General features: G+C 43.1%; 1 protein-coding gene and 1 long non-coding RNA gene across 16 annotated transcripts in view, besides 5 other annotated features; one reads left to right on the forward strand and one right to left on the reverse strand.

The window, feature by feature from the left end:
- Positions 1 to 27,474, forward strand: part of SLC4A8 (solute carrier family 4 member 8) — a 124,318-nt gene that overhangs the window by 24,722 nt on the left and 72,122 nt on the right. For 6 of the 13 annotated variants that reach the window (XM_011539010.2, NM_001039960.3, NM_001405268.1 and 3 more), the window contains exons 1-2: positions 8,664 to 8,868; positions 24,541 to 24,622. In XM_011539010.2, the coding sequence (XP_011537312.1) occupies positions 8,821 to 8,868; positions 24,541 to 24,622 (130 nt within the window). In that variant the 5' untranslated portion in view covers positions 8,664 to 8,820. Of the gene's footprint in view, positions 1 to 8,663; positions 8,869 to 8,949; positions 9,248 to 24,540; positions 24,623 to 24,811; positions 25,013 to 27,474 lie in introns of those variants that run through there. The other 7 variants (NM_001405270.1, XM_011539011.2, NM_001258401.3 and 4 more) reach the window with 3 other exon arrangements.
- Positions 3,584 to 4,085: an enhancer, noted in NCBI's record as "NANOG hESC enhancer chr12:51813535-51814036 (GRCh37/hg19 assembly coordinates)". NCBI's record gives its function as "activates a minimal SCP1, AML or CMV promoter by ChIP-STARR-seq in primed H9 embryonic stem cells {active_cell/tissue: H9 hESC(primed)}" and the evidence as "EXISTENCE:reporter gene assay evidence [ECO:0000049][PMID:30033119]".
- SLC4A8-AS1 (SLC4A8 antisense RNA 1) lies at positions 5,732 to 9,161 on the reverse strand. Of its 3 annotated transcripts, none has more exons than XR_001749147.2 (3): positions 9,073 to 9,161; positions 8,320 to 8,432; positions 5,732 to 6,010 (listed from the first exon to the last, which is right to left on the reverse strand). It is a non-coding gene; the product is annotated as an SLC4A8 antisense RNA 1 (long non-coding RNA). The 3 variants fall into 3 exon arrangements; XR_007063309.1 differs by lacking the exon at positions 9,073 to 9,161 and adding an exon at positions 8,585 to 8,683; XR_007063308.1 differs by lacking the exon at positions 9,073 to 9,161 and having other exon boundaries at positions 8,320 to 8,522.
- Positions 8,423 to 8,632: a silencer, noted in NCBI's record as "silent region_4468". NCBI's record gives its function as "represses an Ori minimal core promoter by ATAC-STARR-seq in GM12878 lymphoblastoid cells {active_cell/tissue: GM12878}" and the evidence as "EXISTENCE:reporter gene assay evidence [ECO:0000049][PMID:35858748]".
- Positions 8,903 to 9,112: a silencer, noted in NCBI's record as "silent region_4469". NCBI's record gives its function as "represses an Ori minimal core promoter by ATAC-STARR-seq in GM12878 lymphoblastoid cells {active_cell/tissue: GM12878}" and the evidence as "EXISTENCE:reporter gene assay evidence [ECO:0000049][PMID:35858748]".
- Positions 9,223 to 9,282: an enhancer, noted in NCBI's record as "active region_6382". NCBI's record gives its function as "activates an Ori minimal core promoter by ATAC-STARR-seq in GM12878 lymphoblastoid cells {active_cell/tissue: GM12878}" and the evidence as "EXISTENCE:reporter gene assay evidence [ECO:0000049][PMID:35858748]".
- Positions 16,537 to 17,037: an enhancer, noted in NCBI's record as "H3K27ac hESC enhancer chr12:51826488-51826988 (GRCh37/hg19 assembly coordinates)". NCBI's record gives its function as "activates a minimal SCP1, AML or CMV promoter by ChIP-STARR-seq in primed H9 embryonic stem cells {active_cell/tissue: H9 hESC(primed)}" and the evidence as "EXISTENCE:reporter gene assay evidence [ECO:0000049][PMID:30033119]".

Below are 27,474 nucleotides of genomic sequence, written 5' to 3' on the forward strand. Positions count from 1 at the left end.
ACCCACTGGCCTGGGGAATTTGCCTGTTTGATGGAGGTCTTTTGTTTTTTTTTTTTTTTTTTTTTGAGAATTTGTGTTTTTGAAAATGTCTCTATTTCACTTTCATTCTCTCCCACCTTTTCTGGCCCTTTATTTCCCAACTTTTAATTGTGAAAATTTTGAAACAAAGAGATGCTAAAACATAAGGACAATAGGCTGGGCACGGCGGCTCTTGCCTGTAATCCCAGCACTTTGGGAGGACGTGACAGGCAGATTGCTTGAAGCCAGGAGTTTGAGACCAGCCTGGTCAACAAGGTGAAACCCCATCTCTACTAAAAATACAAAAATTATCTGGGTGTGGTGGCGTACGCTTGTAATTTCAGCTACTCGGGAGGCTGAGGTACGAGAATCACTTGAACCCAGGAGGCAGATGTTGTGGTGAGCCAAAATAGTGCCGCTGCACTCCAGCCTGAGTGACAGAGTGAGACTCTGTCTCAAAACAAAACAAAACAAAACAAGGACAATGAACATCTGTAAAGCTTCCACAATTGTTAACATTTTGTCATATTTGCTTTATTTCTCCTTATATAGCTATCTAGGCATATCTATCTGTTTCTGTATCTGTAGTGCTGTATCATTCAAAAGTAAGTTGTAGACATCATGGTACTCTACCTTAACACTGCAGCATGCATCTCCTAAGAGTAAGAACTGCTCATGCCTATAATCCCAGCACATTGGGAGGCCAAGGTGGGTGGATTGCTTGAGCTCAGGAGTTCAAAACCAGCCTGGGTAACATGGTGAAATCCTGTCTCTACAAAAAATACAAAAGTTAGCTGGCCACGAGTGTGCCTGTAGTGTCAGCTACTCAGGAGGCTGAGGTGGGAGGATCACTTGCATCCAGGAGTTTGAGGCAAGATCTTATCAACTTGGACGACAGAGTGAGACCCCCTGTCTCAAAAAAAAAAAGAGAAAGAATTGTCTTCTACATAACCACATTACCATCATCACACATGAAAATTAACCATGGTGTAAGTCTTTTCATTTTTTTATATTTGAGACAGGGTCTCCCTTTGTCACCCAGTGCAGTGGCACGATCACAGCTCGCTGCAGCCTCGACCTCCCTTGCTCAAGTGACCCTCCTGCCTCAGCCTTCTGAGTAGCTGAGACTACAAGTGTGCAACACCACGGCTGGCTAGTTTTTGAATTTTTTTTTTTTTTGAGATGGAGTCTTGCTCTGTTGCCCAGGTTGGAGTGCAATGGCATGATCTTGGCTCACTGGAACCTCTGCCTCCTGGGTTCAAGCGATTCTCCCACGTCAGCCTCCCGAGTAGCTGGGATTACAGGCATGCGCCACCATGCCCAGCTAATTTTTGTATTTTTTTTTTTTTTGAGACGAAGTCTCACACTGTCGCCCAGACTGGTGTGCAGTGGGGCGATCTTGGCTCGCTGCAGCCTCCACCTCCCGGGTTCAAGCGATTCTCCTGCCTCAGCCTCCCGAGTGGCTGGGACTACAGGCATGCGCCACCACACCCAGCTAATTTTTGTATTTTTAGTAGAGACGGGGTTTCACTATGTTGGCCAGGCTGGTCTCGAACTCCTGACCTCGTGATCTGCCCACCTCAGCCTCCCAAAGTGCTGGGATTACAGGCGTGAGCCACTGCACCCGGCCTAATTTTTGTATTTTTAGTAGAGACAGGGTTTTGCCACGTTGGCCAAGCTGATCTCTAACTCCTGACCTCAGGTGATCTGCCCGCCTTGGCCTCCCAAAGTGCTGGGATTAGAGGCGTGAGCCACCATATCTGGCTGTAAGTCTTTTTAAACTGTGCATTCCATTGCTAAATTCCAGACTCCTGGCAGTCTGGAATTATAAGGGTGCAAGTGGTTTACTGGAGACAGTAATCCTATCCTGATCATGCCCTGTCTCAGAAAGATAAGAACGAGGGAAGAGATCATAATGGGCTACAAGAATTTGAAGGGCTGTCATGTAGAAGAGTGAGCAGACTTTGCCTTTGGAGTTACAGAGGAGAGCATTTGGAATGAAGAGTGAAAGTTTCAAGGAGGCAAATTGAACCTGGAATGGGGCTGCCAGCCTCATTCGATGGTGAGTACTCTGTGACTAGAGATATCCAGGGAAAATCAGATGGCTCCTTCTCTGGGATGGAGTGGAGGGGAATTGTGTTGGATAGGAACTGGTCTATAGGACATTTAAGTTTCTTCCAAGAATTCTTAGGGGGCAGGGACAAGTTCCGGAGAGACCCAAAACAATATACAAGTTATAGTCTAATTATAATGGCTCTAGTCCATTTTGTCTACCCCAAACAAAGCTGATTATCCTTACATGTGTTTTAAGATTGTATTTTTTCCTCTGCTATTTGTTGGCTAACCATCTCATAGCTCTGGTTTTTGGTAAATCTAGCAAATACTCTTTCTTATATTTTCTGTTGGTTTGTAGAAAGGGCTAAAGAACTCTGCCTTCTTTAAGGAGGGGGCCGGCCCTTTCAATTTGGTAAAATGTTAGAGATAGAAAAAAGATAAGTGAAATAAATTCGCATTCTATCTCTATTCCTTTTTGCCCCAGTCCTAATGTCTGACTGGGTATCTTTTTTAAAATATATATATAACTGCAAAATAAAAGGCCTCAGGGGAAATATCACTGGAAGTAAGAGTAGCTTGGATTGAATTTATATCTATGTCAGATAATGTGCTTCAGTAATAGTTATTTTCAGAACTCCATGGGAGTTTTTTCAGTAAACTAATGAATGGGTGTCACTGACAAGCTTTCCAAAGCGGAAATTATGTGAAAACTCCCATCTTATGGGAAAGGCTAAACAGAGGAGAAACCCTGGGCTTTTGCTGGTGGGGGAGGGGTTAATGTCAGTTCTAAAGAAGATTCACATTTTCATTGTTTCATTGAAGCCAATTCAATTTTATGCAGGAAATGGCTGAATGGAATTATATTTCTAGGAAGCCATACAATTAAGTAGAAAGCATTAGTAGTTCTTGACCCAGCTCTGCTATTAACTGCCCTGGGCAAGTCCCTATACCTAGCTACATTTCCACTTCCTAGACTTCAAATGTTCTATGTACATTTACCAATCCATTGAAGATAAATGAGATAGCAGTGATTACAAATGTCGGGTATTGAATTTGCTGCCACCTTAAAGCTGTCCCAGGCCTATGGGCTAAAAGTGAAATAAGAACTTCCCTACTTAGTATAATACTTAGTATAAAAAGCTCAGGAGGTCTTATCCCTAAATAGATAAGATGTGGAGTGAAATCACTTTAAATAGACCTGATTTATAAGCAGGGTTAGGTTTGGTTAGACATGGATAAGATAAATGTATTGACTATGAATGTGTTCAGCTCTTGTATCAAGGACTTGGCAAGTAGTCCTTGGTTAACACCTGCTGCTTTCAAATTTCTGAATGGCTTCCCATCTGAATCTGGAAGTCCTACAGCTTTTCTCCTCCAGGGCCTATTCTTGACTTGCGGATGACAACCGTTTTTTTTACAGCCAGCTTTTCTGTTTTGTTCTGCTCCCTCTAGAGGTCCCTTCCCCTACCTCTGCCTCTGTCCAAATATCTTAATAGTGATATCAAAGAAGGCAGAAGTCAGGTTTTGCCATTTCACTTGAATTCTGCCCCAGAGCCTCTCTCAGTTTGGAGCAAAGTGTAACTGAGTGTGGTGTAACGAAGTTCTGTGGATGATGTTGATGATGACGAATAGTGGGGAGCGATTTTCACAGCCAGGAGCTTGGCTCTCAGCTTTTGTGGCGCCTCAGACTCTTCCCTGGGATGTGTAGTGTTCCATGCTGGCAGCATGCTGTGAACAATGAAAATTGTATTCTGTAGTCTCTTTCAATATGCTGTGACTTGGCAAGGGCTGAAAGCAAATCATGCACCTGCATAACCTTTTCAGCTTGACAAAGAATCTCTCTCACTCCCCCTCTCGCCCCTCCCTTCCACAGGAAATGCTCCCAGACGACAGCACGAACAAGCCCTAATTAAGTCTTTCCTCAGATCCCGACGTCTTTTCCTCCAACCACATCTTGGGTTTAGATGTGTAAGTAAGAGGAAAGTGGAGAAATAAAAATCAGGTATAAGACACAGCTGGAAATTGGGACCTATTTAATTGCAAGTAAAGCCTAAGACCCCGGCCCTGGTGGCTCTTTGGACAGTTCACATAGAACAAGAGACAGAGTAAACTGATGGAGGAGTTAAGATGCTTTTGATGAAAAAACTGGTTGCAAATTATTTAAGAACATTTTCTCAGACTTTTTGCGTTTCTTATATTTGTGTCTGTCTCTGAATAGAAGAATCTCAATGTCTTTCAGGATATTTAAGGATCATATACGTAAGGTGCCTCATGCTTCCTTGAGAAGTCTATGAACACATCCTTACAATTATATGCAAAATTTTGGGCTTTGTTTACTTATCTGAAAAAGAGAATCCACAGATTTTATAATGTCTCCAGGGAGTTCAAGACCCACCGCTTTCCCCAAAGTTTAAGAACCACTGGTATTATAGAAGAGAAAGAATAGGTCTAAAACAAAATCTGGAAGGATGGCCACGTCAGGAAGCCACAAAGAAAGAGTGGAGCCTATGAAAGTTAGAGAAGGATGAAATTCCCAGGCATCCCCATGGGAGACAGTAGGGTGGTGAAGCTCATGCACTGTGGAATCATTTCATCTGAGCTCACAGTCTAGTGTCTCCATCTATTAACTGTGCTGGCTGTGTGCCCTGGGGAAGTTACCTCTCCAAGCCTCAGTTTTCTAATCTATACAATGGGATGATAGTGCCTACCTCAGAGTTGTTGCAAGGATGAAGTGAGGCTATCCATGTAGCATGCCTCTCTGCCTCCCTATTGGTATGATGTGTGTGTGTGTGTGTGCATGTGTTGTCTCTGCCTCTACACATGTATTTTCCATTTTCTTGTCCACTTTATGCCTCTTTCTGGGCTGACTGAAGATTCAAGAAGGCTCTGAATTCTGTTCTGCTGTTTTTTTCTGATTTCTTTAGAAAAATAATCAGTGTGAGGTGATGTCCTTGGCTGAATACCCCCAGCTCCACTAGGACTTGTCTTCCAGCCAGGCTGAGAGCCATGTGTTTGAGCTTTTCCAACCAGGGTAAGGAGCAGTAGATGTTAGGAGCCTCGTGCTTAGAGCCAAGTGAACCAGCTTTTTCTGGGAAGGAGAGACCAAATCATCCCTGGGAGGATAGAGCCTGTCTTCTGCAGTGCCCCAGATAGCAGCAGCCTTAGCTGCTGCCTCTGTGGCCTACTTCCTTTTGTAATTTGCACAATAGGCCAGAAGATGGGGCTCTTGACCCTGGAGTCAAGGGCCAGAGGCTCTGACTTTTTCCACATTTGTACTGGAGAGAAGTCAGATCCACCAGTCCTCCCAGGAATCACCACTACTTCTCAATTCCTTTCCCTACCCTACCTACTCCACTTCTGCCATGGCTGGGACTTGCCTTCCAGGGGAGTGGGGGATGTGGGCACATCTTTCCTTTGGCCACCATCCTCGGCTCCTGAATTACCACGTTGCTAGAGTCAGTCTTTCTGACGCCCTGCCTCAGGTTTCCCCCTCTAATCCATTCTCCCCTAAGGGCAGATTTTGGAGATGGTACAATTTTTATAGGCCAATACAACATAGTGGTCAAGAACTCTAGAATCAGAGAGCTTGTTCTTGACTCGTCTCCTCAGGTGAATCTTTCCCCACCTCCTCAGAGAAGCTCTCCCTATCCCATGCCAGTTACTCTTGATCACATAACTCTTTATTTACTTAACAGTAGTGATTATAACTAGCGGTTATCTTGTTTGATGACTTGTTTACTTTCTCCCACTTGATTGTAAGGCTTATGAGGCCAAGGACACTGTCTTAATTGCTGTTTTCCCAACACCTAACATAGGGCACGATACATAGGTTCTCAGCAAAAGTGTTTTGAATTAATAGATGAATGATGGAATCCCAGCTTCATGACTGCCTGACCTTGAGTAAGTTGCTTAACTTCACTGAGCCTCAGTTTTTTACCTGTGAAATAGAAAAAGAGTAGAGACATTATGACTATTAAATGACACAATGCATTTATACCACTAAACCCAGGTTCTGGTGTGTGGAAGTTTTCCCTAAAGCCTTCAGCGTCCTGCTTTTTATCATTTAAGAAAAATAAAGTCTGAATGAATTAGCCAGATCTCCACAATTTGATCACAGCCTTTTATTTTATTTATTTTTTATTTTTTTGAGACAGGGTCTCACTCTGTCACCTCGGCTGGAGTGGAGTGGTATACTGAAGCCTCTCCTGGGCTCAGGTGATCCTCCCACTTCAGCTTCCTGAGGGGCTGGGACTGCAGGTGCATGCCACCATGCCTGGCTAATTTTTTTGTATTTTAAAAATAGAGATGGAATTTCTACATGTTGGCCCAAGTTGGTCTTGAACTGTTGGGTTCAAGGGATCCATCTGTCTTGGCCTCCCAAAGTGCTGGGATTACAAGTGTGAGCCACCATGCCCAGCCCACAGCCTTTCTCTATCACAACTATTACCTCCCACTGCTCTTCTCAATAACTTTCTGCTTTGGCCCAAATTGTGGCTACCCTGAATGGGCCATGTGCATTATTATTCTTAAGTCTTTGCCTAAGACTTGAGATGCTTGCTCTTCTTACCTTGGGTCAGCTAAATCTTACCCATGTTTTCAGACTTAGCTCGAATCCATGTCCTCTGTGAAACCTTCCTGAAGATCATTTTCTCTTCTGAATTTTTGCAATCTTCATGGTTTATATAATATTACTCATTAACATATACCCTGTTTCCCTGATAAGCCTGTTAAGCTCCCTTGGAGATATATATTTTAGATTTCTCTGCCTCTACAGTGTTACTTGGGCCTGTTCATTAGTAGGTGTTCAATACATTTTTTATTAGATTGAATTAAAAGCATTCATATTTACTAAGTACTTTCTATGTGCCTGGGATTGGTTGAGGCTCTGTTGAGTATACAGAAGGGCATAAGAAAAATAATCATTGCTTTCAAAGAACTTATAATATTTTAGTAAGCTAAAGTCAACATATAAAGTACTTAAATAACCACAGCATGACAACTGCTATAAGAAAGGTATGAAGTGCCTTGAGAATTCTGGGGAGGGTGAGATGACATCTGTTAGGGGTATCAGGGACAGTAGAATAAAGAAAGGCTTCTTGGAAGAGGGTGGCTTTTGAGATTAACTTTGAAGGATGGTTAAGATTTTGATGGACAAAAATGGGGATGAGGGTAGGATGTGAATTCCAGATTCAAGATGACAGGATTAGTAAAGAGATTGATGGAGTGTGTGGCAATGAACACTAAAACGCAGAGACTAGACAGGAGGCTTATACAGGACATCAGAAATACAATTCTGCTTCAGGGATACTGAAGCCCAACCTTGTTTCCAATTTCAGGACCAACACAAAGGATGGTAAGCAGGGGTGGAAAGTTTTAACATGTATCAGACTACCTTCCCCAACTGTAGCTTCTTTAGGGGCTGAGAATTATTTGCAACAATTCTTCCCCTGACCCCAATTTGGACCTACCTGAAGTCTGGTATGATAGTGCATATAAAACAAAAGGCCCCACGGCCGGGTGCCATGGCTCACGCCTGTAATCCCAGCACCTTGGGTGGCTGAGGCGGGCAGATCACCTGAGGTCAGGAGTTCCAGACCAGCCTGGCCAACATGGTGAAACCCCGTCTCTACTACAAATACAAAAAAATCAGCCGGGCGTGGTGGTGGGGACCTGTAATCCCAGCTACTCAGGAGGCTGAGGCAGGAGAATCGCTTGAACTGGATAGGCGGAGGTTGCAGTGATCCAAGAACACGCCATTGCACTCCAGCCTGGGCAACAAGAGTGAAACTTCGTCTCCAAAAAAAAAAAAAAAACAAAAAAAACAACAAAAAAAAAACAAAAAAAACCCAAAAGGTACCTTTCTTTTTCTTGAGGAGAGAGGGTTGCTTCGATTTTAGCCAGCCTCTCTTTTCTTATAAATCCAAATCAAATTTAATGCATTATTCATGATATTCTAACCTTGTGTTAAGTCAGTAGTTCTGTTGCTAAATAATAGTTTGCCTTAGATCATTTCCTGGAAAAGTTCGAAGCCTTTTTGTGGAATTGCTTCAACAGTCATCCTTAGCTCGACCCTGTCCGTGTGTTTTGCTTCTGACTTGAGACTCAAGAAGAAGACCTAAGTCATAGTGAGACTGTGAGGGAGCCTGACACTGCCTGCCTTCTTCAATTTAATGCTCTTTAATCTGGCCATTAGCTCAAGGAAAAACAATTAATTTTAGAAGGCCCTCTCCCCTCATCCGCAATTACCTCCTCCTGCAATCGCGAAGGATGTTTGCCCGGAATTTAAACATCATCTCCCAAGGAATGAAATCAGAATAGGCAAAACCGACACTTTCCCAGTTTTCAAGGGTCAGGTGCAGCTGCAAATAGAAGCAGAGATTTTCTAGCAAGCAGTTGGAAGGACCTTCACGCCCAGAGGCCCCTGAAGGGAGGGAGGCGGTTTCCAAGGCAACCGGGCCCGGGAGCGGTTGGCTCCCCGGCTCCTCCCCCTCCCCGCGGTAGCCCAGGGTACCGCCGGACAGCGTCCTCCCGTGCTCCGCGCCCTGATTGGCTGCGCAGGCCTCTCGCTGATTGGTTGCGGCGGATGCCTCGCGGGCCGGTGGCTATGGAGGCGGCGGCGGTTGATGGTTGACCGTTGGCTCCGGGGTGGGGGTCGCCGTTCGAGTGATCTGCTCAGACCCGACCAGAGGGCGCGGGCTGCTGATGCTTGGCTTGGAGCCCGTGGGGGAGACCTAGTTCGGCTCCGCCATGCCGGCCGCCGGGAGTAACGAGCCGGACGGCGTCCTCAGCTATCAGGTAGGGCCCCGCCTCCCGCGCCTCCCGCTCCTCCCCGGGGCGCAGCCTCCTCATCCTCTGCCCACCCTCCTTCCTTCTGCCCCCGAGCCCAGGCTTCCCAGGCCGCTCCCTGAGGGCGAGGGGAGGCCAGCCCGGGACACCAGGGGGCGCTCCGGGCGGTTGGGGACCAGGCCAGGGCTGCGAGAGAGTGACCTTGGGCCGAACCTGGGATCTGGCCCATCTCTGCCGCATCCCTTGCGCCGCCCGCCCAGGAGCCCTGACAGCCGGCGGGCGGCGACCTCTTGTTCTCCTCGCGTCTTTCTGTTGGAAGGGGCCGGCGTCTGGCCTCGCGTTGTCCTGCCAGAACGTGGGCAGAAAGGGTAGCAGGGACCTTGCTCTGGTGGGGCACGTCTTCTCTTTGTGTTTTTATTTCTGGGGGTTTCTGGTTCCTCAGTGGTTCAGAGGAAAAGCCAGAAAAGACTCTGGAGGCTGGGACCAATCCCTGATAGGGTGACCCGGTTTGTGACTCCCTCTGCCCCATTGAACAGACACCTGAAAACTTCTGGGTAGGGACTGCAAACTGGGCTGAGGATGTGTGGAGGGGTCAGGAACAGGTGCTTATTTAAGGGAATTAAAAAACCAAGGTTAAGTAACTGGTATTGGAACTGTTGGGGCGGCTAATGTAAGGAAAAGCATTGGACTAAGTGTTAGAGTCTGTAGTTTGAAATCCTACCTCTGCCTCACACAAACTTTGTGACCTTGAGTAAGTCACTTGCCTCTTTGAACCTCAGTTTCCCCAGCTATTAAAATGGGAATAGTTATGTCTGCTTTGCATGCTTCACAGGGTTGTTTTGAGGATCAGACGAAGTGCTGTTTGTGAAAGGGCTTTGTGGAGTAATGTTTATTGTGTGACACTCAGTGAATGAGTGGCAGCCCATTGAATTCTCACTCCCCGTTTCCTGTGCAATCAGATGGTGTGGTTTCTGCCTTGGAAAGAGGGTTGGAAGAGGAGGCAAGTCTGAAGTACAGGGCTCTGAAGAGGGTAATGGGCCATCTCAGGAAGGATGACACGTCTTGGAAACAAGTGCCATGTTGACCTCAGGGATGGTTTCCCCGAGGAGGCAGGGAAAATATCCTGAGTTTGCAACAAAATGAGTATCAGACACTGACTCTCTCCTCTTCTTCCTGGTTAATAGTTTGCTACAATTAATAGAAGATACATCCTTCTTTCCTTGCTCTGTCTGAAAAGAACAATATCTAAGATTTTGGAAAATGCATATCTAACCCCCTTAAAGCCTATTAAATGTATTCAATCTCTGTTTGGGATACAATGGTAAGAAAAAATAGGCAATGTTCTTGCCCTCCTGGAGCGTATCATTTAGTGGGGGAGGGGAGAAGTACTATTTTTAATCAAATATCACACAAATAAATATCATAAACTGTGATAAATGCTTTGAAGAAAGATAGGCAGTGCCATAAGCGTGTATAACAGTGGTTCCAGACATGGTCTCAGAGAAGATTTTGCTAAGGAAGAAAATCTGGGCAAAGAGCTAAAGGATGAATAAATGTTAACTGAGGGAAGAGGGGGATCACAGGGCCTGAGAGGCAAAGAGAACAGCTACACAAAAGACCTGTGGCAGAGGGGGACACACCTGGTTAGAGACCTGAAATGAGGCCAGTGTGGTGCAGCAACAAGGAGCGATGAGGGGAATGGTATATGAGATGTGTTCTGGGGTTATAACACACAGGGCCATTTGGAGCCCATGCTGAGGAAGTTGACATTTATCTGAGGAACAAGGGGAAGCCACTGAAGGGGTTTAAGTAGAGGGGAAAGGGGAGAGAGGGGGTCTCTCCTAACCGGGAGAGAGAGAGAGGGCATGAGAGAGTAAATGAGATCATGAACAGATTTTCTTTTTTTTTTCTTTTCTTTTTTTTTTTTTTTGAGATGGAGTCTTGCTCTGTCGCCCAGGCTGGAGTGCAGTGGTGCGATCTCCACTCACTACAAGCTCCGTCTCCCAGGTTCACGCCATTCTCCTGCCTCGGTCTCCGGAGTAGCTGCGACTACAGGCGCCTTCCACCACGCCCGGCTAATTTTTTGTATTTTTAGTAGAGACAGGGTTTCACCGTGTTAGCTAGGATGGTCTTGATCTCCTGACCTCGTGATCTGCCCGCCTCGGCCTCCCAAAGTGCTGGGATTACAGACGTGAGCCACCGTGCCCGGCCCAGATTTTCCTACTGAAAGATTTCTTTGGCTGCAGTGGGGAGAATAGGTTGGAATGGATGTGAGGATACAGTGTCCTTAACATGCAGAATGTTTACAGGTTATATTATTGAGGGCATCATGACCCTTAGGTTTCTGTTAGTGTTCTGTGAAATTAGTAATTCTTGAGTACTTCTGGAGTAGGATAGAAAATATCTCCTTTATATCTAGTTTGTGAAACTTTCTTGGGTGGTAGGGTGAGGAGAAGAAAAGGAATACAATGGGAACAGTAGGACCTCATGAAGGCTGGAGTCAGGTAATAGGCAAATGGAAATTTGAGAGATAGGGAGGAAAAGAGAATGAGGGTAGAAGGAGGAAAGGAAATGGGGATGACTTGGGGGAGAGACAGTCAACTGACTGGCAATGACCAATTAAACCTTCTATGTGCTAACTAGGCTGTGTGGAGATGGGCCTTGTAAAGTGAGCAGATTGTGTAACTTGATGTAAACAGAGAGGTTCCAGACATCACCTCTAAATATCATAAGGCTGTGCTGTTTTGGAAGATGTGAGCTACTGTCCTAGCCTTCTAACAGTTCCCTCTGCTTTCTTTCTTGCCCTTCTGTAAGACTACTCTCCACATGGCAGCCACAGGGAGCTTTTAAAAACACAAATCAGATCATGTCACATCTTATCTTGAAACCCTTCAGTGGCTTCCTGGTGCCTTTTAGAATAAAATCCAAACTCTTTATCATGGCCTACCAAGCCTGAATACAATCAGGCTCTTGTCCACCCTCCCAGGACTGCCTCTCCTCCACTCTCTTTCTTGCACCTCCTCTGGCTTTCTGTTTCTTCAATACAGTAAGTCTTGCATACCTCAGGTGGGTCTTGTGCCTGTCATTCCCTCTGCCCAGGATGCTGTTTTACCCAGGCCTTCTCATGATTCAACTAGAATGTCACTTCCTTAGAGTGGCTTTCTCTGAACCTTCATCCCAGTCACTCTCTTTAAGATGGTCCTGTTTTATTTTCTTATAACATATGACTTACCTGAAATATTCTTCTTTTGGTTTCTTGTTTATTATCATCTCAGTTAGAAGCTTCTTGAGGGCAGGGGACAAGCAGAAAATCTTCTCACCTAGCACAGTGCCTGGTATAAAATTGGTGCTCAATTGCATAAGTGAATGAGCAGCTCTCCCGTATCCAAAGCCAGATGCCTCCCCTTAAGGAGCTCAAGGTCTAGTCAGGATTGGCACAGAGTGACAGATGGCCATTACTTCATTACACAACATCTCTTCCCTCTATGTTGTGCCTTTGCTCAGGCGTTGAAGCTGGAAAATCTTTCCCCTCCTCTCCGCCAAGAATATTCCATTTTAACCTTCAAGGTCTGGCTCCATATCATTCTATTATATTCGTCACTCACTCTCCCCTGCTCACAACACCTACCAAGTACTATCTTCCGTGAACCCTGACTTGTGGAATATACATATTCATCTCTGCTGCTCACCTGACAGCTCCATTTGCTGTTACTGTTAACTTTTATTGAATGCTTGCCATGTGCCAGGCACTATGCTAAGTGTTTTTCATGCATTATCTCACTTAATGCTCTCTATAACCCTGAGAATTATGGAACTTTATTATTGTTTTCCAAATGAGAAAACAAAGATAATAAAGAGGTTAAGTAATTCTTTTATTTTTATTTTTATTTTTTATTTTTTGAGATGGAGTTTCACTCTTGTTGCCCAGGCTGGAGTGCAATGGCATGATCTCGGCTCACTGCAACCTCCAACTCCCAGGTTCAAGTGATTCTCCTGCCTCAGCATCCCGAGTAGCTGGGATTACAGGCGCCTGCCACCACCCCTAGCTAATTTTTTTGTATTTTTAGTAGAGATGGGGTTTCACCATGTTGGCCAGGCTGGTCTCAAACTCCTGACTTCAGGTGATCCACCTGCCTCGGCCTCCCAAAGTGCTGGGATTACAGGCATGAGCTACTCTGCCAGGCATAGAGAGGTTAAGTAATTCTAAGTGCCAGGGTTGCTTGTGGCCCTGCCAGACCCAGGGCTGCATCTCTGCAAAGGATGTGCCCTTAATCACTGTGCATTACTGTGGCTGTGTCTTTGTTGCCTATAACAGTACCTGTCTCTGAATAAGCACTCACTAAGTGTTTGGGAAGGCAGGATGGGAAGAGACTGCAATGAGGGAGGCCAGCTAGGAGGCCATTGGTATAATTCAGGATGAGTTAATGAAGACCTACATTAGTCATCATTTTGATGAGATCTCTGAAGGTGTTTATGGAATTTTTATTTATTTTTGAGACAGGGTCTCACTCTGTTGCCCAGGCTGGAGTGCAGTGGTGTGATCTCAGCTCACTGCAGCGTCGACCTCCTGGGCTCAAGTGATCCTTCCACTTCAGCCTCCCTAGTAGCTGGAACTACAGACATGAACCACTATGTCCAGCTATTTTTTTTTATTTTAATTTTTATAGAGACAGAGTCTCACTATGTTGCCTGGGCTGGTCTTGAATCCCTGGTCTCAAGCGATCCTCACCCCTCGGCCTCCTGAAGTGCTGGGATTATAGGCATGACCACCACGCCCAGCCGGTTATTGAAATTTTAAGAGTCAATGAGCTTTTCATAGGGGGTAGTAATAGAGGAAGGAAGTCAGAAAGCTTTAAGGAAAGCCCCTACTTTGGATTGGAACTGGGGACACCTGGTATCTTCACAGTTCTCCTGATAAGCACTTTCAGAACAAGCAGAAGGAAGTGTTGAAAGAGAAAACTGGTGAGATTGGAACTCTCAGCATTTGAGCCAAGTGGTGCTGGGGACTGAAGGAAAGTTCAGGGAGGGTGAAAATGGTGGATGGGGAAGCAAGTGAATTTGGGCAATTACCAAGGCTTTTATGTGGATCAGGCCTGCTCAGAATGGAAAATTTTGCAGAAATCTTCACAATAATAAACCCTGGTAAGTGGGTGATAATTGAGAAACATGGCTGATAGGAGTAGAGTTACACCCCATGTCTTATGATGGACCTGAAAAAGCTCTAAGACAAGAGTTCTGAAGGAGACCTGGATTCTAGTGCCCAGTGACTGTGGCACATGTTGGAGCTCAGTAAATATTTGCTGAGCGAATGAATGAATGGCTCTACAGGGAGTGCGTCAACTTTTCTGAGGGTCATAGCCAGTTTATGGTAAGCAGTCAGTAAATATTTGCTCATATTATTTAACAAAAGTATCAACTGTAGATAGCAGTTTCTCCTCTCACTACATTGCACATACCCCTCCACCCTCTCCTCACACATACTAGGTATTCTTTCCATGTGAGAGAATTGGGGAACCTGTGGGCATTCTTTTTATCTGGTTTTCCCAGATCTGCTAGAGAGCTTCAGTAGGAGAGATGTGGGCAGACTTGTCAAGCAGAGACTTGAGCAGAGAACTGGGGACAATTCGGACTGCAAATTTACTTCCTTCAAAATCTGTAGATAATCGTCTTAGCTCATGGTTTGCCTTGGCAGGGTAGACAGGGTCATGGTAGTAATCAGGACACAGAAAAGCAATTGTGTCTATTCTAAATCTGCTGCCAGGTAACAGCAACAGATCTTAGATAATGGAGAGGTTGGTTGTTTCCCATAGGTAGTAACAAGTTTACTGGTCCTGGTCTTGGTAGTCAGGAAGTCATAATATATGTATTGGTTTTCAATTTCTGCCATAACAAAGTACCACATATTTGATGGCTTAAAAAACACAAATTTATCCTACAGTTCTATAGTTCAGAAATCTGATACAGGTCTCACTGGACTAAAATCAAAGTGTTGGCGGGACTGTTTCTTTCTGGAGGTTCTGGGAGAGGATCTGTTTCCTCGCCTTTTCCATCTTCTAGAGACTGCCTGCATTCCTTGGCTCATAGTTCCCTTCCTCCATCTCCAAAGCCAGAAACATAGCATCTCTCAGAACCTGCTTTTGTCATCACATTTTTCTCTGACTCTAGTCTTCTGTCTCTCTCTTTCACGTTAAGGATCCTTGTTATTACACTGAGATTACATAATGGTTTTCATAATTTAGGATGATCTCCTTATTGTAAGATCAGCTGATTAGCAACCTTACCTCCGTCTCCAACCTTAATTCCTCTTTGCCATTATAAGGGAACATATTCACAAACTCTAGGGATTAGGATGTGCATCTCTTTAGAGGACTATTAATCTATCACAGTGTAACCTATACTGAACAGGAGTGACTCCAAGTGGGGTTCAGCAAAAGAATCACTGAGAAGCCAGAGCCATTTTGGAATTTTAGGCCCCTAGCAGGCTGCTGAAGGGTTAGAATGGGAAGCTCATGGGTATTCAGGAGCTCATGGCCACTGAGAAGAGGAAGTCTGGAACAGCTGCATGAGTCCTTGTGGAATTTTTTTTTTGTGGCTATAGGGTGTTTTCATTCAGTAAGAAAGTATTTGAGGGCATTGGAGAGTTGGGGACCCGTGGGTCAGATTTGGTGATGGACTCCCCAAAGGGCCAGCATTCTGAGGCTCTGCTGGATGAAGAGGAAGATGGAAGTGAATAAGGAGATGAAGAACTATTGGAGGTCTGGTCAGTAAAGGGCAGTTTGGGGTGCAGGGTTCTGGAGCGCCAAGGATTTAAGAAGGTAATAATGTGGATCTTAAGCTATTCTTACTGTGGGCATTAATCCATGATTAGTCCATCTGACTAAATGGTGAGGTTCTTTGCTTTTGGCAATCTTAGCATACTGACTTACTAATGTTAGTAAGGAACACAGACTTGATTAGAGTTCTTATCTCACTTAGCTTTTGTGAGATCTTAGCCTCAATTTAGAACTGTTTTGAGGATTAAGTGAGGCAACATATGTAAAACACAATGTGAGGTATATAAGTGTATTACCTCGGTTTGCTGATTAGAAACCTTGGAAATGGGCCAGGCGCGGTGGCTCACGCCTGTAATCCCAGCACTTTGGGAGGCCGAGGTGGGAGGATCACAAGGTCAGGAGATCGAGACCATCCTGGCTAACAAGGTGAAACCCCATCTCTACTAAAAATACAAAAAAAAATTAGCCGGGTGTGGTGGCGGGCGCCTGTAGTCCCACCTACTCGGGAGGCTGAGGCAGGAGAATGGCATGAACCTGGGAGGCAGAGCTTGTAGTGAGCCAAGATGGCGCCACTGCACTCCAGCCTGGGCGACAGAGCGAGACTCCGCCTCAAAAAAAAAAAAAAAAAAGAAACCCTGGAAATGGCTGGGTGTGGTGGCTCACACCTGTAATCCCAGCACCTTGGGAGGCCGAGGTGGGTGGATCACGAGGTCAGGAGATAGAGACCATCCTAGCGAACATGGCGAAACCCAGTCTCTACTAAAAATACAAAAATTAGCTGGGCGTGGTGGTGCGTGCTTGTAGTCCCAGCTACTCGGCAGGCTGAAGCAGGACAATTGTTTGAACCCAGGAGACAGAGGTTGCGATGAGCTGAGATGGCGCCTCTGCACTCCAGCCTGGTGACAGAGCGAGACTCTGTCTCAAAACAAACAAACAAACAAAAAACTCTGGAAATCATCTCTATATTTATTGATTTTGAAATGGTTGAATGTATTAGAACTCAATAAACACTTGACTTTTTTGGGGGGGGTCTTGGCAGGGATAGTGGTGGGAGTGAAGTAGAATGTTAATGTATGTACTCTCTGAAAACACTGAAAAAGATGAAAGGGTTCTTTGAGGTAAAAAGTCTGAGACCTACTGCAGGAAAGGAGGTGGGATTCATTTGGGCAGGTCCACCACCACGCAGGTCCAGAGAGGAGCCTCAGGGGAAGTGTGTTAAGAGAGAGAGCTTGAGGTGGGCTCTGCTCCCCACCTTCCCTGTTCCCTGTAGCCTCTGTGGCTGCTTCCAGGAGCTGGGGCCATTATGTAAGACTGAGCTCTGCCCGTGCCTTTTAATTTCCATTTACTGTAAGTGAGAATCTGGTCTGCTACTCAGTTATAATTCATTCATTTTTCAAGGCTCATGACAATGCTTTCTTTCTCAAGCCTTGCCTTGCAATTTCAGCATTTTAATGTGTATTTAACCCTCTTAGTTCTTTTTATCTATCTAGTCCTTGAGGTAGGCACTCAAGTCAATTCACATTTACGTAGTGGGTCATTATCAGTGAACTAAGAGGAAGTTCAGAAAAGAGGATACTCAGAAATAGGGCTTTTTCCTTCCTTTCTTCCTTCCTTCCTTTCCTTTTTCTTAAGCTTATATAATGTGTTTCTCAGGATTCTAATCTTTTCTGAGTCACAAGCCCCTGTGAGAGAATCTGATGAAAGTTATGGACCCTCTCCCAAGAAAAGTGCACATTCACACATATTCCCACAGATCCTCTGAAGCCCATTTACAAGCACCCTAGAAATCCATGGACCACAATTGAGAGATCTTTTTTGCCATAAATAAATGATACTATCAGAGGAAATAATAGCCAATTGGTGAGGAATCTGCAGCAAGCACAGGCCAAAGAGACCTGATGTTCCTTTCTTTTCATTTTTAATGATTTCAAACAAACTTTGTATGTGCCTGAAATTTATGGAACATTTCAAGCATATAGCAAAGTAGAGAGATTTTGCATAGTGAATCATCATGTACCCATGACTTGGCGTCAACAATGAACACACCATCTGTTTTTTTTTTTTTTTTTTTTTTTTTTTGGTTGGTTTTTTTTTGAGACAGGGTCTTTCTCCGTTGGCCATGCTGGAGTTCAGCGTACAAACACGGCTCATTAGAGCCTCCAACTCCTGGGCTCGAGCAATTCTTCCACCTGAGCCTCCAGAGTAGCTGGGACTACAAGCCCATACCACCACACCCAGCTAATTTTTGAATTTGTTGTAGGGACGAGGTTTCACTATGTTGCCCAGGCTGGTCTCGAACTCCCAGCCTCAAACGATCCTCCCACCTCAGCCTTCCAAAGCTCTGGGGTTATAGGCATGAGTTGCAGAGCCTGGCCACACAATCTTGTTTCATCTATGTTCATCTATTCTCCAAATCTCAGACATATTATTTCATGAGTAAAAATTTCAGTGTGTAGCCCTAAAGATTAAAGACTCTTTTAAAACAACGACATAACTGCCAAAACACACGAGATTATTATACTGAAAAAATAGTTTCCTAATATAATCAAATTTTCATTTAGTTGTTTACATTTATGTGAGTACCTTGTAGTTTTTTAAAAAATACTTGTTTTATTTGAATCAGGATTCAAACAAAGTCCACACATTCACATTCAAGCCTGACCTTTCAAATGCTTTTGCTAATGGTTATTGACAGTGGCTCTGTTTTCTTTGGCAAGACAAAGAAAATGGATGAACAATTATTCAGTGAATTTAGGCTGTGGTTAACCAATCTAAATTAAGGAAACTAACAAACAGCAAGAAAGTTTTTCAACCTGAATTTTTCAGATGATTGACCTTGCTCTTTATATTTTGCAGTTACAATTTTAAAGAAATCAATCATCTCTCCTACCCTCCCTCCCTCTGTTTCTCTAGATTCCCACTGTGTTCTCTGTGGTGTCAGGTGTCTGAAGACAGTACCAAGTATTATAATTAATTGATTCCTATCCTCTGGATATTAAAAACCAGTAGGGGAGCCAACATGAATAATTATTCATATATCTAATTATTTATTTATATAGTTTTATGAGAAAACATCTGATCAATTATCAAAGAGTTTATAAAACTAATAAACATTCATTGAAATGTATGGGATACTTACCATGTACTGGACATTGTACTGGGTGCTGGGTAGATATTGATGAATATAAGACCCAGTACCTATCCTCCTAGAACTTTTGAGGGGACAGAATCTGGATTTTGCTGATTGTATTCCCATGGTGTTGTTTTTCAAGGAACTCTGTTTTATTGTACTTTCAGTAAATTGGTATTTGGATTTAGAGGCTTGATCAGATTCAGGGACAATTTATTTGGTAAGATTACCTCATGGGTGGTGATATGGTCTCCCATTAGGAGGCATACAATGTCTGATTGTCTCTCCTTTGTGATGTTAGTGGCTGTTGAAAATCAGTACAATCCATTGGGGATTGCAAAATGATTTTGTTCCATCATTCCCTTTTCATTTAGTCTCTCCCATAATGAGAAGCTTTTCTCATCTACTCTGTGGTACCACTCTATGGTATAATTTATCTAGGAAAGCCCAGATAAATTATTTGCCAGTTTTCAAAGTAATGAGTTGGTTTATTAGTGTTATCCTCCAAATGTGACCAATTAGTTAATTTTAAAAGTGACCTTGTGAAGCCAGGCGTGGTGGCTCGCGCCTGTAATCCTAGCACTTTGGGAGGCTGAGGAGGGAGGATCACTTGAGCTTAGGAGTTCGAGACCAGCCTGGGCAACATAGTGAGACCGCCCGCCCCAACTCCGCCACCTCTCTATTTTAAAAATAAATAAATAAACAAATAAAATAAAAGTGACCTTATGAAGTGAACTCATCAATCTTAACATATTGACATGGTCAATCTGTTGTAGGCATTACCCTACTGATGCTCAAATTGTCCTATTTTTTGGCAAGAGACCCCTTTAAATTGGCTCCTGAGTCCTTTGGACACAATCCTAGTTGTCTTCGAGTGCTTCCTTACTATCTAACATAATAAGATGTTTTAGACTTACCTTGTACATTTCCTGGCTGGGACCTATGACCAGCCATTTCTCCAGGGAGCTCTGATTCCTTTTATTACAAAATGGTATTTTAAGAGACTATAATGTAGGTACTAATTATACTCATTGCTACTGATTGATCATTTTTTCTAAGCCTTTGAGTGGGCAGAGCTAGAAAATATAAATTTGTAAATTTAAAAACATTAAAAATAAAAACGCATTGTATATTATTGTTGATACTTCCAATTCAATTTAGGACTGCATGGCTCTTATTTACCTTTTGTCTTAAAACTGTATCTCCTTTCTCTCTTGCCGAGAATCCCAGTCCTCAGCCGCACTGGGAGTGACAGAATAAATTCACATAGCTACTCATTTGTTTTATCTCACAACACACAACAAGCCTCAGAATACCAACACCAACCCTACAACCAACAATAGGATAACCAAAAAACAGTTTCAGATCTTTTAAAATTCTTCTTTGTCCTTAGAGTATATGCCACTGAGGATGTTCAGTCAGGTTACTATGTTTTAATGTTACTTAGAATAATTTCTCTTGGAATTTATACCATCAATTTGACCTTTGTTTTCATTTTGTTTTTGATTTTGGGGAATTACTTTAAAATTTTTAATTTTACATTATGTAAATTATTTACAAAATAAGGCATATTCAAAAAAGTCTAGTTTCTATCTTTGTCTCTTCCATCTTATTCCCTCCCTCCTCTCTAGGTAACTATTTAAAAAAATCTTTTGTGACTTTTTCTTCTTTTATTTGTTATTTATTTATTTATTTAGTTAGTTAGTTAGTTATTTGAGATGGAGTCTCACTCTGTCATCCAGGCTGGAGTGCAATGGCGTAATCTTGGCTCACTGCAATCTCTGCCTCCTAGGTTCAAGTGATTCTCCTGCCTCAGCCTCCCAAGTAGCTGGGATTATAGGCGTGCACCACCACACCCGGCTAATTTTTGTATTTTTAGTAGAGATGGGGTTTCACCATGTTGGCCAGGCTGGTCTCGAACTCCTGACCTCAAGTGATCCACCTGCCTTGGGCTCCCAAAGTGCTGGGATTATAGGCATGAGCCACTGCAGTCATCCTATTTGTTTTAAAATGTAAGCAAACACTTATGTTCCAACACCCTTTGTTAGATAAAAGGTAGCAAATTATACAGTTTTCTCCATCTTGCTTTTTAAACTTAATATTATATTTTGGAGATTTTTCCATGGTAGTAATAATATATAATTTTAAATGTCTATAAAGCTAATTTAATACATAAAAATCCTAAGTAGATATTAGACTATTTTATTTACTTCCCTAAAAGTTTGTTTATTCCAGTTGGCCTCAAAAACTTTATTTCAATCTTCCCATTGGGAAAATGAATTGCCTTATGTTCAGAGTTGTCTTATTTGGGAGCATAGATGATAACTACAAAATAGTAACTTTGGAACAGTAAGCTGGAAACTTGAGCAGGATCTAGAAGGAAGGTGATATCGTTTGGCTATTTGTCCCCACCAAATATGTTGAAATGTAATCCCCAATGTTGGAGATGGGGTCTGGTGGGAGATGTTTGGGTCATGGAGGCAGATGCCTCATGAATGTCTTGGTGCCATCCTCACAGTAATGAGTGAGTTCTTGCTCTGAGTTCACCCAAGATCTGGTTGTTTAAAAGAGTCTGGGCCCTCCCCTCTCTCTTGCCCCCATCTTGCCATATTATACACCAGCTTCCCTTTTGCCTTCTGCCATGATTGTGAGCTTCCTGACTCTCTTACCAGAAGCAGATGCTAGCACCACACTTCCTGTACAGCCTGCAGAACTGTGAGCCAAGATAAACCTATTTTCTTAATAAATTACCCAGTCTCAGGTATTCCATTATAGCAATGCAAATGGACTAATACAGGAGACGTGGGGATTTAATGTGCTGGAGAGTTTGGGGAAATGGCATGTTAGATGACTAGATGACCTGACAATATGAGCAAAGACATAAAGGTGGGAATGTGCACAGTGCTCTCGGGATCAGTCAGCTTGGCTGGAGTTGCAGGTTTGAGAAGGGAAATAGATTGCCAGGGAAATCAGCTAAGAGTTTTTTTGAAATAATTCAGGGTCTTGTGATTCAGGGTATTGATAGGATAGGTGCCATTATATTCATTCTTTTAAAACGTTTAATTTTTATTTTGAAATTGACAAGTAATATTTAAGTAATATTGTACATATTCATTGGGGTGCATGGTGATGTTTCAATACATGTAATGTATAGTGATCAGATCAGAGTAATTAGCATATCTATCATTTAAAACATTTATTATTTCTTTGTGTTGAGATTACTCAATATCTTCCTTCTAGCTGTTTGAAACTCTATATTATAGTCATCCTACTATAGTATAGAACACTAGAACTTATTCTTCCTATATAGTTGTAATTTTTTATCCTTTAGCAAATCTCTCCCTACACTTCTCCCCCTTGCCTTCCTAGCCTCTAATATTCTCTCTTATACTTCTTACTTCTCTGAGATCAACTTTTTTTAGCTTCCACATATGAGTGAGAACATGCAGTGTTTAACTTTCTGTTCCTGGCTTATTTCACTTAACATAATGTCCTTCAGTTCCATCCATATTGCCACAAATGACAAGATTTCATACTTTTTATGGCTGAATAGTATTCTGCTGTGTATATATGCCATATTTTCTTTATCCATTCATCTGTTGTTGGACACCTAGGATGATTCCATATCTTGGCTATTATGAATAGTGCTGCGATAAACGTGGGGATGCAGATGTCTCTTTAATATAGTGATTTCCTTTCCTTTGGATAAATGCCCAGTAGTGAGATTACTGGATTATATGGTGGTTCTGTTTGTAGTTTTTTGAGGAACCTCCACTGTTCTCCACAGTGGCTGTACTAGTTTATATTCCCACCAACAGTGTATAAGGGTTCTTTCTTCTTCATATCCTTGCCAGCATTTGTTATATTTTGTCTTTTTGATAATAGCCATCCTAACTGGAGTGAGATGATACCTCATTTTGGTTTTGATTTGCATTTCCCTGATGATTAGTGATGTTGAGCATTTTTTCATATATTTGTTGACTATTTGTTTGTCTTTTGAGAATTGTGTATTCATTCTTTTAACAAAGATTTATAGAGCACTGTTATGTGAAAAGTCTGTGCTGGGTGCTAGGATACAGTGGTGAGGAAGATGGACATAGTTCCTTCTTCCTCAAGGAACAGAGGAGACTTTTTTTATTTTTTTTGAGACAGAGTCTCGCTCTGTTGCCCATGCTGGAGTACAATGGTGCGATCTCAGCTCACTGCAACCTCTGCCTCCCAGGTTCAAGTGATTCTCCTGCCTCAGCCTCCTGAGTAGCTGGCACTACAGGCACGCACCACCACACCCAGATAATTTTTTTATTTTTAGTAGAGATGGGGTTTCACCATGTTGGTCAGGCCAGTCTTGAACTCCTGACCTCAGGTGATCACCTGCCTTGGCCTCCCAAAGTGTTGGGATTACAGGTGTGAGCCACCATGCCCGGCCAAGACATTTTATTACTAAGAGAATTGCAGTGTGCTATGAGGGTATATAAATGGTGGACCTAGCTTAGTTTGGAAGTCGGAGTGGGTAATCAGGAAAGGCTTCCAAGTAAGTGTGTTGAGGCTGAGATCAAAGAGATCATCATCTCTTTGATCATCATCAAAGGTGGGGGCAGGTGGTGGGAGTGGCAGGGAGAGAATGGTAGTTCCAGGAAGAGACAGCAGCACTAAGTAAAGAAGGTGGGTGTGGTTCCAGAACTAAAAAAAAAAAGAAAGAAATGCCTAATATGATTTAAAGGGTTGGAGCATGTAGGGAAGAGTGGATGAGAGATGAAAATTAATTTTTTAGAGAAATTGCAAAGGAAGAAAGACTTGGTAAGAAAAGGGAACTAGCTACCTGAAGGCATATGGTAGGCACTCATACATGTGGAATGGATGAATAAGTAACTTTGAAATTTCACCTGTGGGCTAATAAATGATGGTGCCATTGGTAGGAATAAACAAATGAGCACAGGGTGTTAGTTTTGGAAGGAAAGTTAGTTGGGTTTTAGACACATGGTTCTTGAGGTGTGGCATCCTAGTGGCTTATCAATTACTGAACCACAGTTTCAGACTGCAGTTGAAATTGTAAGTCTTAAGTGAGGAAAACAAAGAGTAGAGAGCTCTTTCTTGGAAATTATGGTTAGAGGAAGAAAAAGACTAAGGATGAGACAGAGGAGGCCTGATAAGAGGAGCAGGATGGAAAATTTCAAGGACAGCGTGTGGTAAACAGGCCCAAATGCTGCAAAGAGGCCAAGGAGACCAATCTACACCAAATGGGACAACTTGCTTCACAGCACTTGCAAAATGCCAAAATGTTATACAGAGGTATAGATGGAGTGGGGAGGTGGAAAAGGCATGAGATTTACAGCCACAAGACCTGGGCTCATGACACGTCCTAGTAATCCCAGCTGCTCTGGAGGCTGAGGTAGGAGAATTGTTTGAGCCCAGGAGTTCAAGGCTGCAGTGAGCTATGATTGTATCACTGCAATATAGCCTGGGTGACCCATTCTCTCTCTGTTTTTTTTTTTTTTTAAAAGACCTAGGCTCAGTCCTAGCTCCGCCTTTTATGACATTTGTGACCCTGGGCCATCATTACTTAATGTTCTCTGAGTGTCAGTCTGCTCATTTATAAAATGAGAAAGATAATGGCTACCATATTTGCATCTAAAAGGTATTGTGAAGTTCACATGTAAAAATACAGGTAAACAATTGTGTTTCCCCCGTAAGTATCTCAAAAGGATCTGGCATACACAAGGTTTGTATATTTGAACGAGGTATGTGTATTACTGTGACTACTTATTTGTGTTTAAACAGAGACCAGATGAAGAAGCTGTGGTGGATCAGGGTGGGACCAGTACAATTCTCAACATTCACTATGAAAAAGAAGAGCTGGAAGGTAAGAACTGCCATGCTGTGTGATCAGGGAAATTGGTGAGGGGCAGCCTGGTGTGGGAAGACCTGGCTCTGTGTCCTAACTCTCTCACTAGCTGTCAGACCTTGGGGAAAATCACTTGATTTCCTTTAGCCTCACTTTCCTCATCTGGTAAATAAAAGTGGGGATACTAATACTTGTCCTACCTTACAGGGATATCATTAGGATCTAATTGCCTACATGGGAGATAGTGCTTTGAACACGGTGAAGTCCAATATAAATATTAACAAGTAACCTGTTCTTTGAGAATGTGATGTACTCAGTTCAGTGCGTTAATTCTTGACAACTGCCTGGAAATACAAATAAATACAAAACTTAAAGAGAAAATAAAATACAAATAGTTTTAAAAACTCATTTTGGCTACAAAACCCTATTTTTACCCCATTTCCAATATTTACTGTTTCTATTCTATTTATACCCATTTCTGCCTGGTGGTTTCATCTAAACAAGAGGGAAAACAGGAACACACCTGTGACATACTCTTGAGTTCATAACATCAAAGTTATATAAAAGCCCAGCTGAAGGGGAAAGGAAAGAAGAGGCATTTTGGATGACCCACTCTGTCCAGTTTACCTTATTTCAGCTCTTCCTTTCTCTGCACCTCACCCCCAGCTCCCCACATAACCGTTATGTGGTGTCCTGCTTTCCTTTTTCCCCTGGGGACTAGTTGGTGTGTTAGGAGTTGGACCCACACCTGGCCATGGTTTTCTAATTAGTGTTGATGCTCAGTTTCATTAGAGGAAGGCTCATGTCCAGTATCCAATATAGCTTTAATGAGAAGCCACATTTGGCTCAAAAGCCTTTGTGAAATCTCTGCAGCATCCCCTGCAATGTTGAAGGCTATGATACAGCAACTTTCTGATGCCTGAGACAGCATGTGAAATGTTCTCTCTGTACTGCCTGTTCCCGTGACAGTTTTTTCATCAAAGTTGTACAACCTCCAGAGAAAACTTGTCCTTTTGATGGGGAGAACGGAAGCTGTAGAGGCTGACTCAGCCTCTGGGTCTGTTACCATGAGAACTGACGTGGGTGGCTCTGTGGAGGTCAGTGGTGTTTGGGTATACCAAGGTGAAGTTTTCCAAGTTATTTTGACCAGATGGAAGAAGAGAACATGTGAGTTGCAGCAGTTGGGAGGGAGTGGGAGAAGGAAAGGGTGTGGAATGGAAGGCTAACATTTGTTGAATGCCCCTTGTGTGTTAGGCATTAGATTAGGCACCTTATACAAGTTGTCCTTTTCATCTTCATAGCACCCCAGGCAGGTAGGTATCATTATCCCTATTTTACACATGAGGAAACTGCTCAAGGTCATCGAGCCTAATTGCAGGTGAGGCTGGGGAGAGAATCCTGCTCTTTTCATTCTGCCACACAGCCTGCAAGAGAGGACAGTAACTGTCATTAACCACCCAACCTCAATATCTTGCTCCATCAAATAAAATTTTTGTATGTTGCTCTTGCCTCTTCTTCTGTTCTGATAATCATGTGGTCTCTCTACCCTCTCATTGCATCCTGGGGGCATGTTGCTGTCAGTTTAGTTGTTCTATAGCAAGCACCACTGGACCTTTGCCCTCAGCAAGGAGGTAACCATTTATGAACACTCTTGTCTACTTGGGAGTAGAATAAGAAACCTGAGCAAGCTCTCTTGAATCTTAACAACTGGTTCCATCCACGGAGATCAGCTGAGTAACTGGCGGTGGGAGCAGCTTCTCCAGATGACATCATCTGTTCTTTATGCATGTTCTACTTTGCTAAAAAAGAATGCTGTCTGTGATGACAGCCTTACTAGTGCATAGTGTGTTGGGAGATGGTCCTTTGTACGTAGACTTTTTTGAAAACTAGAATCTTATTTATGTTAACACTTAAAAAAAAAGCATTACACGCAAATGGTGGACAAACTAGAACCAGATCTCAGGCCTGATGTGGTTTCTAGACCAGCTCTGGAGAAGAGAAGAGAGAGTTGGGATTTGCTATAGGGTTGGCTGTGCTGTGGGTTCCACTCAGACTCACTCCGAAGGGCAGCCCTAGGACTCAATGAGGCTGTACTCAGGGTAGTGTTATCTCTTGAAGGCATAGAATAAAACGAGTACCATTTTGATGGAACACAGAAGCAAATTGTGTTCAGATTCAATATGCATGCCATGATATCAGGTTCTGTGGCTGCAAAAAAAATCTCCAGGTCTTTTTTCCCCTTTATGTCATAACTTCTGCCCACATGACATAAACTATAAATCATTGCCTTACCACATTTTATTTATTTATATTAAACAACAACCTCTAGTCCAAGAATATGAGTTTTTTGTTTTTGTTTGATTGTTTTTTGAGGCAGTCTTGCTCTGTCACACAGGCTGGAGTGCAGTGACCCAGTCTTAGCCCACTGTAGCCTTGACCTCCTGGGCTCAAGTGATCCTCCCACCCCAGCCTCCCAAGTAGCTGGGGCTACAGGCACGTGCCACCATGCCTGGCTATCCTTACCCCATTTTAAGAACTATTTCTGAGATTTAGTCTGTGTACATTGTTAGAAACTTTGTAAGTGTGGGTCTTTTGCATAAATTAATTCTATCAGTAAGAGAAGTTGCATTAAGCCATTATGTTGCTTTTTTTTTAATATGTGAGAAGAGTCAAAAGCCAACATCAGAACACGTTCCAAAGATGAACTCAAGAAGAGCAATAGTCCATGATGTGCTTCAGTGGACTTTCCCAGTCCCAGAGGAACAAGAGGCAGTTGCTTTAGTTAGAGGGATGGCTTTTTCCATTTTTTCCTGGCAGATCATTATTCCTGATTAACTACTAGATTAATGAACTCTGGAGTGAGTTTAAGG

The sequence above is a fragment of the Homo sapiens genome, chromosome 12 (genome assembly GCF_000001405.40).
Source record: "Homo sapiens chromosome 12, GRCh38.p14 Primary Assembly".
Classification (NCBI taxonomy): domain Eukaryota; kingdom Metazoa; phylum Chordata; class Mammalia; order Primates; family Hominidae; genus Homo; species Homo sapiens.